General features: G+C 36.2%; 1 protein-coding gene across 41 annotated transcripts in view; it reads left to right on the top strand.

Moving 5' to 3' along the window:
* DYM (dymeclin) overlaps positions 1-19,989 on the top strand; it is a 424,259-nt gene that overhangs the window by 167,745 nt on the left and 236,525 nt on the right. For 28 of the 41 annotated variants that reach the window (XM_047437556.1, NM_001353211.3, XM_047437554.1 and 25 more), the window contains 2 exons: positions 6,285-6,467; positions 10,726-10,904. In XM_047437556.1, the coding sequence (XP_047293512.1) occupies positions 6,285-6,467; positions 10,726-10,904 (362 nt within the window). The remainder of the gene's footprint in view (positions 1-6,284; positions 6,468-10,725; positions 10,905-19,989) is intronic. The other 13 variants (NM_001374439.1, XM_047437559.1, XM_047437553.1 and 10 more) reach the window with 2 other exon arrangements.

Genomic DNA, 19,989 nt, shown 5'->3' with positions numbered 1-19,989 from the left:
GTGTATACCTATGTAACAAACCTGTACCTTCTGTACATGTATCCCATAACTTAAAGTATAATAATAATAAGACAAAAAACTTGTCAACACCAGATTTGTTCTTTTAGTTAATTTTAGTTTTTAGTTTTTAGTTAGATGGATTTTAGGAGTTAGTTTGGAAGACCCAAGGGATACAATTAAGAAACTTTGGGAACCATCCTGAATTTGGTTTTTGGAACACAAGGAAATATTTTGTAACTTTCCTTATTTTTCTGGTGGACAGGTTTTTGTGGGGGTTTTTTTTTTTTTTTTTTTTTTTTTTTTTTTTTCCAACAGGAAAATGCAATTCCACTAAGATTCTTAGGTCATAGATCAGAGGCTTGGACCAGCAAAGAGAAAGGAACTTTTGGAAGAATCTTTGTCCAGTATTATGGGCCAGTTTAAACTGTAATGTAGGCAGTGACAGGCTGCTTCATCTCTCCCTGCAGTACTGTTTACCAGAAAAAGGAAGGAGGGCTCTGTGTGTGTGTGTGTGTGTGTGTGTGTGTGTGTGTGTGTGTGTGTGTCTGTCTGTCTGTCTGTCTGCCTGCCTGCCTGCCTGCCTGCCTGTCTGTCTGTCTGTCTGTGTTGGTGGATTCAGGGAAAGATGGAGAAGCTTCCCAATAAAATGTTAGTTTATCTGACATTAGAAGCAGCTTCTCAGCCCTCTTGGAAAATCTTGAAGAAAGGAGAGTGAATCTGTGTTGAAAGGGAATCAGAATTTTGTTTGTGCAATTTATTCAGTAGTAGTCAACTCATTTCTACTAGCAATAAAGATGAGCAACTGTGAAGAGGATCCAAAAAACACTTCTATTTGACCTTGGGGACCATGTTGTGATTATTTTTGTTGCAGATTGAACTTTGTAATTGTGTTTCTCATTGCTCTGAATCCTGGAACACACAGTGATGGATATTGGAGCTGACTGTCATGGAGCATACTCTGAGTGGAAGAAAATGGCTTTAAATGTTTTAAAATGATACAAATAAACAACACAAATCAATCCCAAAGCAAATAATTAATACTTGGCTACTGGCTGTACCTTCTTAATAATTTTGATTTTCTTATTAAATGTCTCAAGTTCTTCAACTATGTCATGAGGATTGTTTTGAATAAACTTAAATTTGTGGTCTATAATTACCAATTATTGACAATTTTAATTCAGATTTTCCTTATGAAATGGAGGGAGCACATTATTTAACAGAAACTTTCCTGTGTTCCCCAGTCATCTTAAAATCCTTCCTGTATTAAAAAACAAAACAGAAAAACCTCTTCTTGCTGATCCTCGAGTTTGCTTATACCTATACTGAAAATTTATACCAGATTTGCAGTTTGAGGTTCCCAGTATACTCTTTTTTGAGGACCTCGAAATTTAGGGATGGGGACTATTTCCCCCCTTCCCCCATAACAGCTCCTTAAAAGTTAGTAGTAAAACCATTTCAGTAATCATTTAAAAAGCTTGATATTTGTAGGCTCACAATTGTGTAGGAAATTACATATTTAGGCTATTCATAAGATACTTTATTTTGTGTGTTCAGTAAAAAGTACAAAATATTAGAAATGAACAGATGTTCACACTGAACTGTTTACAATGTAAAGTAGAAATAAAAAGTATCTGCCTGTGTTAGTTCGGCAGAAACAAAACGTTTCAGTTGCTTGTTTTGTTATACATTGCTTATAATTTATTTACAGAAGCACTTAATTCATTTAATAAGTGTTTTTGTAAAAAGGACACCTGCCCATTATAATAAGTAATAAAAAATATGTATATGCAAAGATTAAAGTTAAATATCACATCTATTGCCATGGTCCTCGATATAATCAGAGCTAACATGTTGATGATTTTTCCCTCCAAAATTATCAGGAGGTTTTCTGTTTTGTTGTTAAAGTAAAAATTACAGGGCTTTGTCCTAGTTCCAAAGTATTTGCATCACATTTTTGGGGGAGTTGGTGACCAGGAATTTTCCTCCTTCCCTTCCTTATTATTTTTAATTGCTTATTATGCTTGAATACGTCTCTGTTGTAGAAGAGTCAAGCAATAGAGTAATACTACACTGAACAAAGTCTGAGACTCTCCTGAAGCCACCTTCACTCCCACTCTGCTCCATGACGAATGACCACTGTCTACAGTGGACCCTGCCAGGGACCTGTAGATGGACTTACATGCATAGATATGTGTATTTGCAAGTTCTTAAAACAAATGGAGCATGCATATATATACATATATATCTATATATATGTAGTTTGTGAATGGCCTTTTTCACTTAGTGATTTCTGATGAGATTTTCCCATATTCTACATACTAATGGGATCTATATTTTTCTGTTATTTTAATTTTATTCTTTTACATTTATTTTTAAAGAAATAAATATATTATTACTGGGGAAAAATTAAACTATACAAGTAAAACAAAAGTCTTCCTTGAATTCCTTGAATTCCATGCAATCCCACTTCATCCTCTAGAGATAATCTCTGTTTGCAGTGTGATGTATACTTTGTCCTTCTTGTTTTTTTTTTAAATATGTACATATGGATACATATATGGTTTGGTAAGTGATTTTTTAAATTGTTACATCAGTTTTTCTGCAACTTGTTTTTTTCACTTAACGGTATTTCCTTGTTGGTACATAGACATCTACATCCTTATATTGTATTCCATGGTATAGTTTAACCATAGTTTATGTCACCATTGTTACTGGTGAGCATTTATATGTTGTTTACATTATTGGACCATTATAAACAATATTACAGTAAACATTCCTATACATGCTCTTTTGTGTGCCTATTCAAGTATTCCTTGGTATAGAAAAAAAAAAAGAATTGCTGGGCTCATGAGTATGTGCATTTTATTTTCAATGAAAACTGCCAAATGTACTTTAAAAAGTCCTGTAACACTTGGATCTCTTACTACTGATAATTTCCTATACCTTTACTGATACTACTGAGTCTTATCAGTGTTATCAGTCTTTTAAAAATGTTCTAGTCTCATGGGTCATCTCATCATCATTACATTTTTAAAAATTATTGTTTAGACTTCCGTTGTCCGTTTAAAATATATAAATAAATATATATGTGTATATATATATATATGTGTGTATATATATATATGTGTATATATATATATATATATATATATATATATATATATATATATATACACATATATATATATTTGAGATAGGGGCTTATTCTGTTGCCTGGGTTGGAGTGCAGTGGCACAGTCACAGCTTACTGTAGCCTCAACCTCCTGGGCTCAAGTGATCCTCCTGCTTCAGCCTCATGAGTAGCTGGGACTACAAGCATGAACCACCATGCCCGGCTATTTCTTTTTTAATTATTATTATTTGTAGAGACAAGGTCTCACTGTGTTGCCCAGGCTGGTCTTCAACTTCTGGGCTGAAGCAGTCCTCCTGCCTCAGCCTCCTTTATTGCCCATTTTAATTTTGGATTACTTTTTTTTTTTTTTTTTTTTTTTTTTTTACTGATTTGTAGATTTTTAAAAAAATCCTTTTGTTATGCATGTTACGAATGTTGCTTCTTCATATGTTACTTGTCTTTGTGATGTGTTTTATCATGTAAAAGTATTTAATTTTTAAATGGTCAAATGAATATTCTTCATGTATTCTTGAATGTTGTTTCTTACATAAGAAAAGGGCTTCCCTGACTCAAGGTTTATACATATGCTTCTATAATTAAATACTAACAAAATTTCACTGTCCCAAGAACACTTAACAGAATTTTATCCTTTTCTTACTGATCTGGCACACTACCTTTATCATAATCTTAATTATCAAATACATGTAGCTCTGTGCTGACCTAATTTCTCTTCTGTTGACCTATTTGTCTCCTCTGCTGCCAAATCACACTTTTACATGACTATAGCTTTATACAAATTGTACTATGTGAATGGTTGTATACTTCCCTAGGTCGGTCTCAGAATTGTTTTCTTATGTATTTTTTTCATGTAGAAATGTTTTATTTACACTGTATTACAAAATATCACATAAAGTCTTGTTGGTATTTTGATGGTTATTATACTGAATTTTAGATTTACTTAGAGACATTTGACTTTTTTTTGTTTTTGTTTTGTTTTTTGTTTTTTTTTGAGACAGAGTCTTACTCTGTCGCCCAGGCTGGAGTGCAGTGGCATGATCTCGGCTCACTGCAACCTCTGCCTCTCGGGTTCAAGAGATTCTCCCGCCTCAGCCTCCCAAGTAGCTGGGAGTATCAGGCATGTACCACCACACCTGGCTAATTTTTGTATTTTTAGTAGAGACGGGGTTTCACCATGTTGTCCAGGCTGGTCTCGAACTCCTGACCTCAGTTGATCCATCTGCCTTAGCCTCCCAAAGTGCTGGGATTACAGGCATGAGCCCCTATACCCAGCCTAGATTTGACATTTTATAGTATTGACTCTTTTTGTCCAGAAACATGTTATGCCTTTACATTAATTCAGATCTCATATGGTCTTCAAATTCTATGGTTGTCAGCCTAAAGATCATCTCTATTTTAGGTTTATTCCTGAATATTTTATTGGATTTGTTGCTATTTTGATTGGAATTAAATATATTTTCTAATTATTTATTGATTGTATGTAAAGCTTTTAATTTTTATTGTTGTTGGTGGTGTTGACCATATAGCCATAGTACTGCACCAAAATCTTCTATTAGTTATAGTGTGTCAGTAATGGAGTATCAGGTGGCTCTCTTTGATATTCTAGAACAATTAACTCTGTCCAATAGAAATATAATAGAAGCCATGTATGTAATTTTAAATTTTCTAGTGGTCATGTTCAAAAAGTAAAAAGAAACAGGTGAAAGTAATTTTAATACTAGTGTATCTAAAATATTATTTCAACATGTATTTAGCATAAAATATTAGTGAGATAATTTACATTCTTTTTTTGGTATTAAGTCTTCAAATTTTCATGTGTATTTTACACTTATAGCACAGTGTAATTTGAGCTACAGTAGACTCACTTTAAATGCTCAGTAACCACAAGTGGCTAGTGGCCACTGTACTGGACAGTGCATTTTTTTTTTTTTTTTTTTTTTTTGAGACGGAGTTTCGCTCTTGTTGTGGCGCGATCTCAGCTCACCGCAACCTCTGCTTCCTGGGTTCAAGCAATTCTCCTGCCTCAGCCTCCCGAGTAGCTGGGATTACAGGTGCCCGCCACCACGCCTGGCTAATTTTTTTGTATTTTTAGTAGAGACAGGGTTTCTCCATGTTGGTCAGGCCTCCCAAAGTGTTGGGATTACAGGCGTGAGCCACCGTGCCAGGCCTGGACAGCGCATTTCTAAGTGGACCAGAATATTGCTTGCAAATAATGAAATTTTTTCTCTAAAATTTTTTTGGTCTTTTTTTCTTTTGTCTTAATGTTTTTGCTTGGGCATTAGTAGTACCATGCTGATGTTGATGATATTAATGGGAATACTTACAATGTTTGACCACTATGAATTTTTGGCTAGAGGTTTCCTTCCCTTTCTAGTTTGTAAGAATTTTTCTTTAAATCAGAAACTAATTTTAAGTTTAAAATATATATATATTTAAATATATATATGAAAATGTGGAAACTCTCGAGATGACCATATTTTTTATTTTAAAAAATAGAAATAATACTTTTAAAATGGTGAACAATTCTTGTACTTTAGAAACAAAGCCTCTTGATCATAATGCATTTATTATTATTATTATTTTTTGAGATGAGTCTCACTCTGTTGCCCAGCCTGGAGTGGAGTGGCATGATCTCAGCTCACTGCAACCTCTGCTTCCCAGGTTCAAGCTATTCTTTTGCCTCAGCCAAGTAGCTGGGACTACAGGCGCCTGCCATCACACCTGGCTATTTTTTATATTTTTAGTAGAGATGGGGTTTCACCATGTTGGTTAGGCTGGTCTCGAAGTCCTGACCTCTTGGTCCACCTGCCTTGGCCTCTCAAAGTGCTGGGATTACAGGTGTGTGCCACTGCACCCGGCTTGCATTAATTTTTTTTAGCAAATTTTTCTACTAAATTTCATTCACTTTTTTACAAAATTTAGGTTACCTAATCATAAAAATCTCTATTTCTCTATTTTGTTGTAAATACAGTCAATCTTTGTCCAGTTTTTATAGCAAGGATTTTCTGGCCTTGTGAAATGTATAGACATGATTCTTGTTCTACACTTTGGAACTGCTCATTACCATATTGTATTATATTACACAGAATACTTTACAGAAATACATTCATCTCATTGGTGGCAGCACATCCTAACAGGGTGTTTTCCTCCCCAGCAGGACTCTGGACTGTCTTCACACTAGGTGGTGTGGGCAGCAAAGCGGCTGCCTCTCCAGAGCTTTCTTCCCCTCTGGCCAACCAGAGTCTCCTGCTTCTGCTGGTGTTGGCCAATCTGACAGATGCCTCAGATGCGCCAAACCCCTACAGACAAGCCATTATGTCCTTCAAGAACACACAAGGTTTGTGGTATTTTTTCTCTAATATTCTTTGTAATGGGGAGAGTATTGCTTGTTCTATATTGTTTATTGTCTTATAGTTTTGGAGATGAGTGTCCATTGTATGTTTTCATATTGGTCAAACATGAGAAAAACTTTAGCTTTTCCTGTCAATATTATCAGGAAGGTCAAGCATCCTTTATATCTGATCCTTTATATCTGTTTAAATCCATATTTCTTTCATGGACAACCAACCAGCATGTGTTTAATTTGGGTCAGTCTGTACTACCTGTTAGGGATAGGAATTAACCTGGAAAACCCAAATGCTAGGTTGTTTTAAATTTTCAGTTAAAGTCTGTGTTCTAGAGTTTTATAGAACTAAAAATTAGGTCTCAAAAACAAAAAAAAAAGATTAGAACACAAATCAGAAAACCTTTTTCTGTAGAGGGTAGTGGCTTTGTGGAGTCACATGGTCTCTCCTGCAGTCTGTTAGCCTTGCCGTTTTTCCATCAAAGCAGCCATAGGTACTATGTAAACAAGTTAGATGGCTGTGCTCCAGTAAATCTTTACTTCCAGACAAGGGGCAGGCTGCCCATGAGCTGTGTAACTTGGTATTAATAACTCCTAAAGTAGAAGGTGAGCATATGGCTTCATGTTGAACCAGTATTATCTCTTCTCAAAAGGTTACATTCTAAAAGCAAGATTCCTGTAGTATAGTCAAGTGCTGCTCAACAGCAGGGCTGTGTTCCATTAGGCAATTTTGTCGCTGTGTGAATATCATAGTGTACTTAGACAAACCTAGATGGCGTAGCTACTACACAACTAGGCTATGTGGTGTAGCCTATTGCTCCTAGCCAACAGACCTATTCAACATGATGATGTACTGAATGCTGTAGTCAGTTGTAACACAGTGGTAAGTATTTGTGTATCTAAGCAGTCTAAACCTAGAAAAGGTACAATAAAAACGTGGTATTATAATCACATGGAATCACTTTGAATATGTGGTTTATCACTGACTGAAACGTTATTATGCAGTGCATGACCAGATGCTCAAGACATTTTGAACACTAATGTAATGAAGATGGGTGGGAAGTACAGTGATTGGATGGGAGCATTTGTAAGCCTTCTGATGGGCTGTGCCATGATTCTTCCGGGTTATTCTGATACACATTTCTTATAGACGTGGCTAAATGTGCCCATTAATTGCGCCTCTGCCAATTCTGGTATTATTTGCAGTGTGTCTTTGTCCATTTGTGCTGCTCTAACAAAATACCTGAGACTCAATAACTTATAAAGAACAGAAATCTATTTCTCACAGTTCTGAAGGCTGGGAAGTCAATCTAAGATGCAGGCACCGGCAGGTTTGGTGTCTGGTGAGGGCTCAGTCTCTGCTTCCAAGATGGATCCTTCTAGCTGTGTCTTCACATGGCAGAAGGGAGTCAAGGGCTAAAAGGGCTGAATGCTATGTGGGCCCTCTTTTATGAAGGCCTTCATCCTATTGATGAGAGATGGGCCCTTAGGACCTAATCACACTGTAAAGGCCCTACCTCTCAACTTTATTTCATTGGAGATTAAATTTCAACATGAATTTTGGAGAGGATACAGGCAAACTATAACACAGGACAATAGGGAATTAATAACAATTTTACAAATTAAAAAACGAAAACTGGTGTATCTGTTAGTATTTTTCTGTTCCCATTACTTACTCTTCTTGGTGACAGTATGGCTTAATGGTTAAGAAAGCAAGTTTCAGAGTCAAGCATACCTGGCTTCACACCATACCTCTATCGCTTCAGAGTGTGAGACCTTTGACAGTTTGCTTAATCTCAATTAGCTTCAAAAGCTTGGCCTATAAAATAGAGATAATATCACCTAATAGTATTTGTATAAAGACCAAGCAAGGTAAGTCTTTAAAATGATTAGCCCAGATTTTGCAACAAAGCAGGTATTCAGTATATGGTATCTACTATGTTACTCTTGTTGCTCAGGCCAAATGTTGGTATTTAGGGCTGAACTTTGCTTGGGATGGTCATGGTTTGGGAGACCATGTAGTACAATGAAGCAAAATGTTGGCTTAAGGGTATTCATATCCATCAGGGCTGATCTTGGCAAAGTTACTTAATCCCTTTAAACATTTATTACATTCCATGTAAAGCTGATCAGAATAATGACATGTTTGATGTATGGGTTAAATAAGGGATAACACAAACAAAGTGTTTAGTATAACAGCTGGTTCATAGCATTTATTAGCTAGTAATGTATATATGTTGTGGATACATATACACAACCCACATATTCCCTTTGCAGTCAGGTATAATACAGGTTGGTGAATTTGTTACTTTCCTTCAATTTTAAAGAAGTGTAGTGTGTCTAGAATCTTCCTCCAGTGAACATTCTGTAGATTCCATAATATCTGCATACTCACAGCACATGGCAACACTTCCTTTTGCCATCCCTTGCAAAAATATAAAGCCAACCACAAAAAAAAGGAATTATTTTTGTAAGTGTCAAAAATACAGTGTTAGTATTGAAAAAATAGTCTATATTTCAAATGTGGAAGGAAAAGTGAGGGCACTGGATAGTAAACCTGAAGGCATTTTGGTGCATTCCCCTCACAAATGTAAAGCTTAGGAAGGAGAATCTGAGAGGCAAGGATTGTGTTGGAACACATCTCTTTTTCCATAAGAGCACAGCTTTTAGAAATGTTAAAGCAAGTTGTTTTGTTTTGGTAGTGCTTCTGTGTTTTAAAGGCTTAAAAATAATTTGGTGCTTTTTAGAACGTAAAAATATTAGCTCTTTGTGCTACCATGTTCAGAGTTTTATTTGATTGGATGATGACTTTCTCTGAGTCCATTGAACTTATCTTTATCTTCTTTGTTGCTTCCTAACCTTGGTTGCTTCAGTTTCTCAGCAAATCCAGTTAACTGTTGGAAAGGGGCTGTGTCAGATTGGAATATCAAGAACTTTTCCTAATACAGGCTGTGATTTGTTCTTTTCATTGTTCCAGTGACTGTACTTTAAAAAAAAAAAAAGTTTCTTAACAGTTATAGTCAATTAGGTTTGCATTGGAGATTATATTTTATTTTATTTTAAAAAAAGTTATAGAAGTTTTCTGGTAGTTGTCTCAAGCTTGGTGTGCTCTTTTGATTATAGAACCTAATGTTGAATATACGCAGATGGCCCCCAACCTGCAATGGCTGGACTTAGGATTTTTTGACTTTATGATGTGCAAAAACAATATAAATTCAGTACTGTATTTGATAAATTACATGAGATATTCAACACTTTGTTGTAAAATAGGCCTACTGTTACAGTTGGATTGATACAATTTAGAACTGTACACAAATATAATAGCTTAGGCTAGGCTAGACTACACTATGTTGTTTGGTAAGTTAGGTGTATTAAATGCATTTTCAACTTAGAATATTTTCAACTTATGATTAATTTATGGGAATATGACTCCATTGTTAAGTTGAGGAACGTCTATACTGATTTTGATATAAGTGGATGCTTCAGCCACAATTTATTTAAAGGCAGTTTTTTTCTTTTTAATTCTATCTTAAAAGAGAATTTTCTATTTTGTGTAGAAATTATATCTTTTTCTGTAGATATTTTTTATTTAGGACTCATGGTTATTTAGTTTTGGTAACAAAGTATTTTATCTCAACGTCCTGGTTAAGTTGTATTGATTGGTGGGCCTTTTGCCTAGCTCATAATTCTGTTTATTTAAGTTCATGTTCTTATAGCTGATTTATTTCAGCTATGTTAATGGGAAAATAGTAACAAAGTCAAAGTATATGACTTTGTTTAGTTCTTTTTAAAGTAAAATTTTTGTTTTGTTTTGTTTTAGACAGAGTCTCACTCTCGCCCAGGCTGAAGTGCAGTGGCGTGAGCTCGGCTCACTGCAACCTCCACCTCCCAGGTTCAAGCGATTCTCCTGCTATAGCCTCCTGAGTAGCTGGGATTACAGGCCCACGCCACCATGCCTGGCTAATTTCTGTATTTTTAGTAGAGATGGGGTTTCACCATGTTGGTCAGCCTGGTCTCAAACTTCTGACCTCATGATCCACCTGTCTCGGCCTCCCAAAGTGCTGGGATTACAGGCGTGAGCCGCCATGCCTGGCCCTAAAGTAAATTTTACATAAATTAAAATTTTGAATCTGAAATGTAGTGACTTTCCATAAAATTAATGGGAATTGAGTTGTACACATTACTTTAACAATATTTTTATTTATATAAAGCACAGCTAGAAATTACTGATGTGCTGTTTTCTGTATTCCAGATAGCAGTCCTTTCCCCTCATCAATTCCACATGCCTTCCAGATCAACTTTAATAGTTTGTACACAGCTCTTTGTGAACAGCAGACATCTGATCAAGCAACTCTCCTCTTGTATACCTTGCTCCATCAAAATAGTAATATTAGAACATACATGTTGGCTCGCACAGATATGGAAAATCTTGTAAGTATCATACTAAACATTCCATGCGTTTGTATTTTTTTTTAATTATACTTTAAGTTTTAGGGTACATGGCACAGCGTGCAGGTTAGTTACATATGTATACATGTGCCATGTTGGTGTGCTGCACCCAGGAACTCGTCATTTAACATTAGGTATATCGCCAAATGCTATCCCTTCCCCCTGCCCCCACTCCACAACAGGCCCCAGTGTGTGATGTTCCCCTTCCTGTGTCCATGTATTCTCATTGTTCAGTTCCCACCTATGAGTGAGAACATGCAGTGTCTGGTTTTTTGTCCTTGGGATAGTTCGCTGAGAATGATGGTTTCCAGCTTCATCCATGTCCCTACAAAGGACACGAACCCATCCTTTTTTATGGCTGCATAGTATTCCATGGTGTATATGTGCCACATTTTCTTAATCCAGTCTATCATTGTTGGACATTTGGCTTGGTTCCAAGTCTTTGCTGTTGTGAATAGTACTGCCATAAACATGCGTGTGCATGTGTCTTTATAGCAGCATGATTTATAATCCTTTGGGTCTATACCCAGTAATGGGATGGCTGGGTCAAATGGTATTTCTAGTTCTAGATCCCTGAGGAATTGCCACACTGACTTCCACAATGGTTGAACTAGTTTACAGTCCCACCAACAGTGTAAAAGTGTTCCTATTTCTCCACATCCTCTCCAGCACCTGTTGTTTCCTGACTGTTTAATGATCACCACTCTAACTGGTGTGAGATGGTATCTCATTGAGGTTTTGATTTGCATTTCTCTGATGGCCAGTGATGATGAGCATTTTTTCATGTGTCTTTTGGCTGCATAAATGTCTTCTTTTGAGAAGTGTCTGTTCATATCCTTCTCCCACTTTTTGATGGGGTTGTTTGTTTTTTTCTTGTAACTTTGTTGGAGTTCATTGCAGATTCTGGATATTAGCCCTTTGTCAGATGAGTAGATTGCAAAAATTTTCTCCCATTCTGTAGGTTGCCTGTTCACTCCGATGGTAGTTTCTTTTGCTGTGCAGAAGCTCTTTAGTTTAATTAGATCCCATTTGTCAATTTTGGCTTTTGTTGCCATTGCTTTTGGTGTTTTAGACATGAAGTCCTTGCCTATGCCTATGTCCTGAATGGTATTGCCTAGGTTTTCTTCTAGGGTTTTTATGGTTTTAGGTCTAACATTCCATGTGTTTGTATTTTATAATATTTTGGAGAAAAACTTCTTTTCCCAAGAGGGCAAATTTATTTGCCTGGTTGCCACAAAGGTGATGGTCAAGAATTGATAGGGAGATGTCACCAGACACAGACGGAGGGTAGGAGCTTCTCCAGCATAAGACACAGCTCATGTGGAGGTGGCCTCCCAGAGCAGGACACCGCAGCGTCCCTGGCTGGCTTGACAGCATCCCTCCCTGTCCTTATAGTCTTTAACAGCCACACGTTGCCCAGGATTCAGCCTGTTCAGGTCTTCCAAAAATCTCAAGGAGATTTTTAAATCATCTCGGTCGCTGCCATCTGCTAAGTACCCGCCCACCAAGTTCATGTTACTCGTCACAGTTGCAGAATATTCCTGATGAGAATGCTGAAAGGAAAATGATGTTTCAACTCAGCTGCCCAAATATCCCACCCACTCTGGCAGGCTTAGGCTTTAGGACTGTCTGAACTCACTCCCTGGAGTCTCATAGTCATTTTAAGGTACCTTTGTCAGATATCACTTAAATTACACTATCCATCACTACATGAGTGAAATTAGTTCTCAAATTTTTGTTCATAGACAAAAACTCCTGTAAGCAATAATTGATTTCCTTTATGACTAATGTGCAAACATCAGTGTTTCTATAAGGGGCAAAGTAAGCTACCTCACCAAGGTGTTAATGTTGTTTGAAATACATAGTATGTAGATAACTATGGACCCTTAATACATTCATAAAAATGTGAACATTCCCGAAATAGCCAGTAGCTGGCTGACAGCAATGAAATGTTCCCTCTGTACCAGTTTTTACAGGTTGATAGCAGGATTCTCCCAGTATTTGGTTACCATTTTTTCAGTGTTAAATATAAAATACTGCATAAATAGTGAAGAAACATGGAATACTAGAATTCATTGAATGTATTCTACATCAGATTGACACTAAGAACAAAAAGTGTGGTGAAAGTGTCTCCACATCAGGTCTAGGTGGGAAACACTGCTTAAATAGCAAATTGAGTATGAAAGTATGCTGCTTATATGAGTAAAATCCTATAAAGAGAAGGCTTGTTTCCTGATGGGTGTGGATAGGCATAGAGACAATTCTGAGTATGTTGTATTCTAAGGGAAACGTTGGCAATAAGCAGGAAACCTGTGACATCACCTGTTTCAGAAAGTTGTATGGTAAGGATGCAGGTATATAAGATGGTGCAGAGAGCAGCTGTCTGCGTTTGATGACATACCCGGTGAAAGGTTAAAAGGTTTTGTGTTGTAGTTTTTTTGGAGGGTGGTGTTTGTTTATTTGTTCTGGTTTTGTTGGATAATTTCTTAATTTATGCTCCATCTGTCCTTTTACCTTTCTTCTATAATAAATATGTTGAGGCTCTGATTAGAAAATATGTTATCAGTAGGAAATTTACTGTGCTGATCTGATTTTGTTGTAGTTATCAATTCTTTTATTCTGCAGTCTTTGACATTAAGAAGGTAATGTTTAACAGATTACAGTGTTTCTAAGAAATACCTTATTGTGTGTAAATCCCATAAGGCTGGAGGCAGACCTGCCTGTATTCAGCGACAGGTGTTGGCTAACTTGGATTCTTTCTATTGATGGTCTGACTCACTACTGTTTGACTTGTTTTAACTCAAAACAAGTTAATTAATCTGGTATAACTTCTTATAGTACATTTTTAGTTGGTATCTATTAGAATAACAATACAGTGACTCTTACATTTTCTTTTTGTGTCTCTGAATAGTGTCTAGGGCGAATCCAAGTGCCTAAATATTAAGAACAGGGCATAAGAGGGCATACTTTTTAGAAAAACCCATTAGGGACATGAACACAATTTTTATATTTTATCACAATTAAATGTTTACCAAGAAAAGCAGCTAGACATTTGAGATGGTCATGATTCTTTTAGTTGTAACAGACCCATTGCTTATGCCTAGCATAAGAGAAAAGAAATATATCTGTACAAATGAAAAATTTGTGCTTTTTTTTTGGCTTCAGTCATAGCTGGTTCTAGGGGCTGAATGATGTTATCCAGGCTTGGCCTCTCCATCTTTTGCCTCTGCCTTTTATAGCTTTGGCCTTATTCTCAGGCACACACTTTCCAAGTGGGGAGGCAGGTGGCCACCAGCAGCTCTCAACATATCATAAGCTAAAAGGAGGAAACACAGCTACTTCAGAAATATTTCATGAAGGGCTCCAATAGTCTCTTCTTGGGTTGTGTATCCACTTATTTGACCAATGACTATGGGAGGAGGCACACTTAATGCTAAGCCACCATAGCCACAAAGGTAAAGGGAAGTTCCTTAAGGAAGGGATCTTGGACAAATAATATATAGTCACTTCAACACTATATTGCTTGTAACTTTCTTAATCAGGGCATTGTGAGTTAGTCACTCTTTTAATTTCTGTTTGTATTAGTCCAACAGAGATTCGGCTGGTATTTCCCTTAGGCCTCCAGCAGTCTTCTGCTTTTGGGTCAAGCCTTGAGCCTGCACAATATCGCAGATATGCAACCCCTGTCATTTTGATATCGTACTCATTTGAAACTTCACTGAAGAGACACTTAGAAAATGAGATTAATATTTACAGTGATATGCAGTCTATGATTTATCATTAATTATAAAAGAAATGACATAGGATCTTTATATCTTGTTTTAGATGGACTAATAGTCCTTTATTTTCTGAATGTGGTTTTTATATAAACATCAAAAAGGAAAATTTTTTTTTAGCTCTTTTGTTTTCATGCTAAGTTTCTTGAAAGCTACATTCTTTGCCTTTACTTCTTATGCACTTTTCTACCTGTTGTGATCTAACATCTGTTCCTACAACTTCCTCATCAGCAGCTCCTGATTATTAGTAAATCTCTGGGCATGTTTCATAATTTTCTTATTTGACTGCATTGCTGCATGACACTGTTCATCTCTTTATTCTTTAAACCGCCAAATACCTATGTCTTAGTCAGTTCTGGCTTAGTCAGTTCAGAATTTAGTCTGGCCTGACTGCTTTAACAAACATACCATAGACTGGTGCTTAAACAACAGAAAGTTATTTCTCGTAGTTCTGTAGGCTGGGATTTCTAAGATAGAGATGTCAGCCCCCTTGGAGTCTGGTGCAGACCTGCTTACTGGTTTGTCAATAGTCATATACTTGCTGTGTTCTCACATGGCAGTGAGCAGAGGCAGAGAAGAAGCAAGCTGTCTCCTATCTCTTATAAGGGTACTAATCCCGTCATGAGGGCTCCACCCCTGTTACCTAATCTCCTCCCAAGGGCCCCACCTCTTAATAGTGTCCCATTGTGGGTTAGGGTTTTAACATACTAATTTTGGGGGCCCAAACGTGCAGTTCGTATATCTACAAACATATACCTTGGCTTTCCAATCATTGTACTCTGCTGGTTTTTCCACCTCTATGCCTACTGCTTTTCTCTCTCTTTTATGTGTTATTTTTCCTTGTCCTTAAATGTGTCCTGCTGCAGGATTCTGTCCTTTTTGTTTTTTCCCTGTACTTCTCCCTAAAACATCTAAGCAAATTCAGTTGCCATTTATATGTTGCCAGTGTATATGTTCCCATTTATATGTGCCATATATGTTCAGTTCTGTATTTGCAGTCCTGATTACCTGTATCTCATATCCATGTATCCAGCTGCCCCAGACATTTCCCAGTGGCCGTCTCATAGACACCTTAAACCAAACATGTAAAAATTGGGTTCATTATTTTCCCTGCTCTTCCTTCTCTTACTCCTGTATTCTCTGTCACAGGGAGCCATCCATAGAGTTGGCAAAAGCTTTGACTCCTCTGTCTCATTCCCCCATATCCAACCAAATATTTTTTATTTTCTCTCCTTATTATCTTTGGAATGTATTAGTGTTCTTTTTCCTCATTGCGATTCCTTTGGTCTAAGCTGCCTTCATCTCTTACTAAAATTATTGCAACATCTTTAACTGGTTTTCCTGCTTTCTGACTTGCTATTCTTTAATATTTTTTATCCTGTTTCCAGAGTGAGTATATTAGAGTCAAATCTGATCATGTCACTTCCCTACTTTTAAAGCCCTTTCATGTCTCCACAGTGCCCTCAGGTTAAAGCTCTTACTCTTAACGTGGCTAACAAGACACTTTATAATTTTGCCACAGCTTCCATTTTGGGTCTCATCTCTTTGCCATTATGTTCTTTTTATTCTTTATTTAATCATAATGAATTAATTTAATGTCTCTCAATCTGACCTATCTCCTAACTTTAGACTTGGTTTTTCTCTCTAGAATACTTCTCCTTGAAATTTTCTCCTTTTTCCTCTTCTCAGATAACTCCTAGTAGTTTTTCAGATCTCAGTTTAGATAGTTCTTTCAGAATTAAAGTGCTATTATAAAAGTAATTATATACCATATCCAAGTGGGATTTATCCCAGAAATGTAAGCTTGATTGGACATCTGAAAGTCAGTTATTGTGATACATCATATCAACAGAGCAAAAAACAAAAATCATATGATTATTTAAATAGATACAGAAAAAAGCATTTGACAAAGTAATCACTTTTTTATGAAATAAAAATATTTAACAAACTAGGAATAGAAGGGAACTTCCTTAGATGAGTAAAGGGCTTCTATGAAAACCCCACAGCTCACATCATATTTAATGGTAAAACACTGTTTTCTTTCTCCCCGAGATCAGCCACAAAACAAGGATGTCTGCTTTTGCCATTTCATTCAACATTTTACTGGAGATTCTAGCCTGGGCATTTGATTAAGAGAAAGAAATTAAACATATCTAGATTGGAAAGCAAGGTGTAAAATTATCTGTATTTGCAGATGACATTATCTTATATATAGATAATCCTAAGGAATCCACTAAAAAACTCTTAGAATTAATAGATGAGTTCAGCAAAGTTGCAGGATACTGGATCAGTATAAAAAGTCAATATGCAAAAAATAGTATTTTTATATATGAGAAATCCCAAAATGAAGTTAAGAAAATAGTTCTGTTCATAATAGCATCAGAAATTTAACAAAAGAAGTACAAAACTTACACTGTGAAAACTACAAAATATTATTGAAAGAAATGGGGAAACACATATTCATTGATTGCAACATAAAAAAAATAGAGATAGAGATAGGGTCTTGCTATGTTGCCCAGGCTGGTCTTAAACTTCTGGCCTCAAGCAATCCTCCCACATTGGCCTCCTAAAGTGCTGGGATTACAGGCATGAGCCACCATACCCAGCCCTGATCACAGTACTTCACATTGTTAAGATGGCAGTATTCCCCAGACTGACATACACATTGAGCACAATACCTATTAGAATCCTAGTTGACTTCTTTATAGAGATTGACAAGATGATTAAAAAATTCATGTAAAATTACAAAGGTCCAAGAATAGCCAAAACAATCCTGAAAAAGAACAAATTTGGAGGACTCATACTTTCTAATTTCAAAACTTACTATAAAGCAACACTAATCAATACAGTGTGGTACTGGCACAAGGATAGACATAATACATCAATGGAGTTGAATTGAGAGTCTAGAAATAAACCCATATACCTATCATCAACTGATTTTTAGCCAGGGTGCCAAGACCAATGTGGAAAGAATAGGTTTTTTCAACAAATGGTACTGGTGCCACTGTGTAGTCACTTGCAAAGGAATAAAGTTGGGCTTTTGCTTCACCCCATATACAAAGTTAATTCAAAATGGGTCAAAGACCTAAAAAGAGCTAAAACTATAAACCTCTTAGAAGAAATGGGGGTAAATCTTCATGACCTTGAATTTGGCAAATGACTGTTAGATATAACAACAAAAGCATGAGCAATGAAAGAAAAAACAGGTAAATTGAACTGCATCAAAATAAAAACGTTTGTGCTTCAAAGGACCATCAAGAAAGTGAAAAAACAGCCCACAAAATGTGAGAAGATATTTGCAAATCACTTTTCTGGTAAGGAACTGTATCTATAGTATGTAAAGAACTTTTTAAACCCAATAGTAGAAGGACAACCCAATTAAAAAATGGATGAAAGATCTGAGTAAACATTTCTGCAAGGAAGATATACAAATAGCTAGTAATACACCCATGAAAAAAACAACTTGACATTATTAGTCATCAGGTAAGTGTAAATCAAAATCACAGCGAAATACCACTTTACTCCCACTGTGATGCCTAGAATAAAATGTTAGATAATAAGAAGTGAGGATGTGGAGAAATCTAATCTCTCATACACTGTTGGTGGAAATGTAATATGATGCAATGGCTTTGAAACAGTCTGGTAGTTCCTGAAACAATGAAACAGTTACCATATGATCCAGCAATTCCAAGGCTAGATATATACCCAAGAGAAATGAGTATATGTCTGCAGGAAAACTTGTAAATGAATGTTTATAGAAGCATTGTTCATAATAGCAAAAAAGTGGAAACAGTTCAAATGCTAGTCAACAGAAGAATGGATAAATGAAATGTGGTATGTTTATGCAATGAGATATTATTTGACATAAAAAGGAATGAGATCCTGATACATACTGCAGCATGGATGAACTTTGGTAACATGTTCAGTGAAAGAAAGTCACAAAAATCTACGTAGTGTATGATTCTATTCATACGGAAGTCCAGAATAGGGAAATTATAGAGACAGAAAGTGGTTCCTTTGGGCAGGGTAGATAGGGGTCTGGGGGAGGTGATAGTTAAAGGGTATGGGGTTTGTTTTTGAGATAATGAAATTTTTCAAGTTGCCTGTGGTGATGGTTACACATATTTCTGAGTATATGGTAAACCATTGAATTGTGCACTTTGAATGGATTGTATGGTCTGTAAATTGTATCTGAATACAAATATTTAAAAGAATGAAGTACTATTCTGACATAGTCTCATTGGACCCGTTACTTACTCTTACATTATTATTTCTTTGAATATACCATTTGCTTGTGTGTCTTGTCAATATTTTCAGTACTCTATTGGTATTATGTACTATAGGTAAGATGTGCTTTCTACAGGCGTAGCCAAAAAAAAAAAAAAAGGCATAAAATATACAGTCACATGTTGCTTAATGTGGGGAGGCGTTCTGAGAAATGTTTTATTAGGTGATTTTGTCATTGTGCAAATATCATAGCATGTACTTACACAAACCTAGATCGTAGAGCCTAACTACACACCTAAGCTTTATGGTGTAGCCTATGGCTCCTAGGCCATAAACCTGTACATCATGTTACCGTACTAAATACTGCAGGCACTTGTAACACAATGGCGTTTGTGTATCTAAACATAGAAAGGGTACAGTAAAAATATGATGTTGTAATCTTATGAGACAATACAACCACAGACTGTTATATATGTGGTCTGTTGTTAATGGAAATGTTATGTGGCATATTGAAAACTCCAGAATCAGAATTAACAAATGTTGAGTTAAATGACTAAAAAATGTAACTATGCTTACTAGGTAATGTGGAATGTGAGTACAATGTATTATGTTTGACAAAATGTCAGAAGGAACTCCGAAGACAAGAATGCCTGGGAAAAGAGACAGAGCAATGACTGCTTGGTAACTGGTATACTTCGTTCCTGGAAGTTAATAGTGCTCATGCACTGAACTTCATAATTTAGAGGAAGTTTTAGCTACAACTTGTAAAAGAACAAAACATACCAGTGCCACATTTTAAAAGCTTCCTGCAATAGGTGTGCCTGTCAAAACACGTATGCCCCAGGCATACCAGCTTGTTTTGGTGGGCTTTGCATACCAGCCTGTGCTTTAAGGACTTGTATGTGTAAACAATTTGCTCATTACATGTGTTGTCTGATTTAGATGATAGATTTTTTTTTTTGCCTGTTTTCTAGCATTCAGTGGATAGTGTTCATGGTTGTTTCCAACAAGACATGCTATGTAGATAGTCTGCCCATCTTTAATAAATAATTTCAGTAACCTCC

The sequence above is a fragment of the Homo sapiens genome, chromosome 18 (genome assembly GCF_000001405.40).
Source record: "Homo sapiens chromosome 18, GRCh38.p14 Primary Assembly".
Classification (NCBI taxonomy): Eukaryota; Metazoa; Chordata; class Mammalia; order Primates; family Hominidae; genus Homo; species Homo sapiens.
This window is presented reverse-complemented; position numbering and strand designations above follow the sequence as displayed.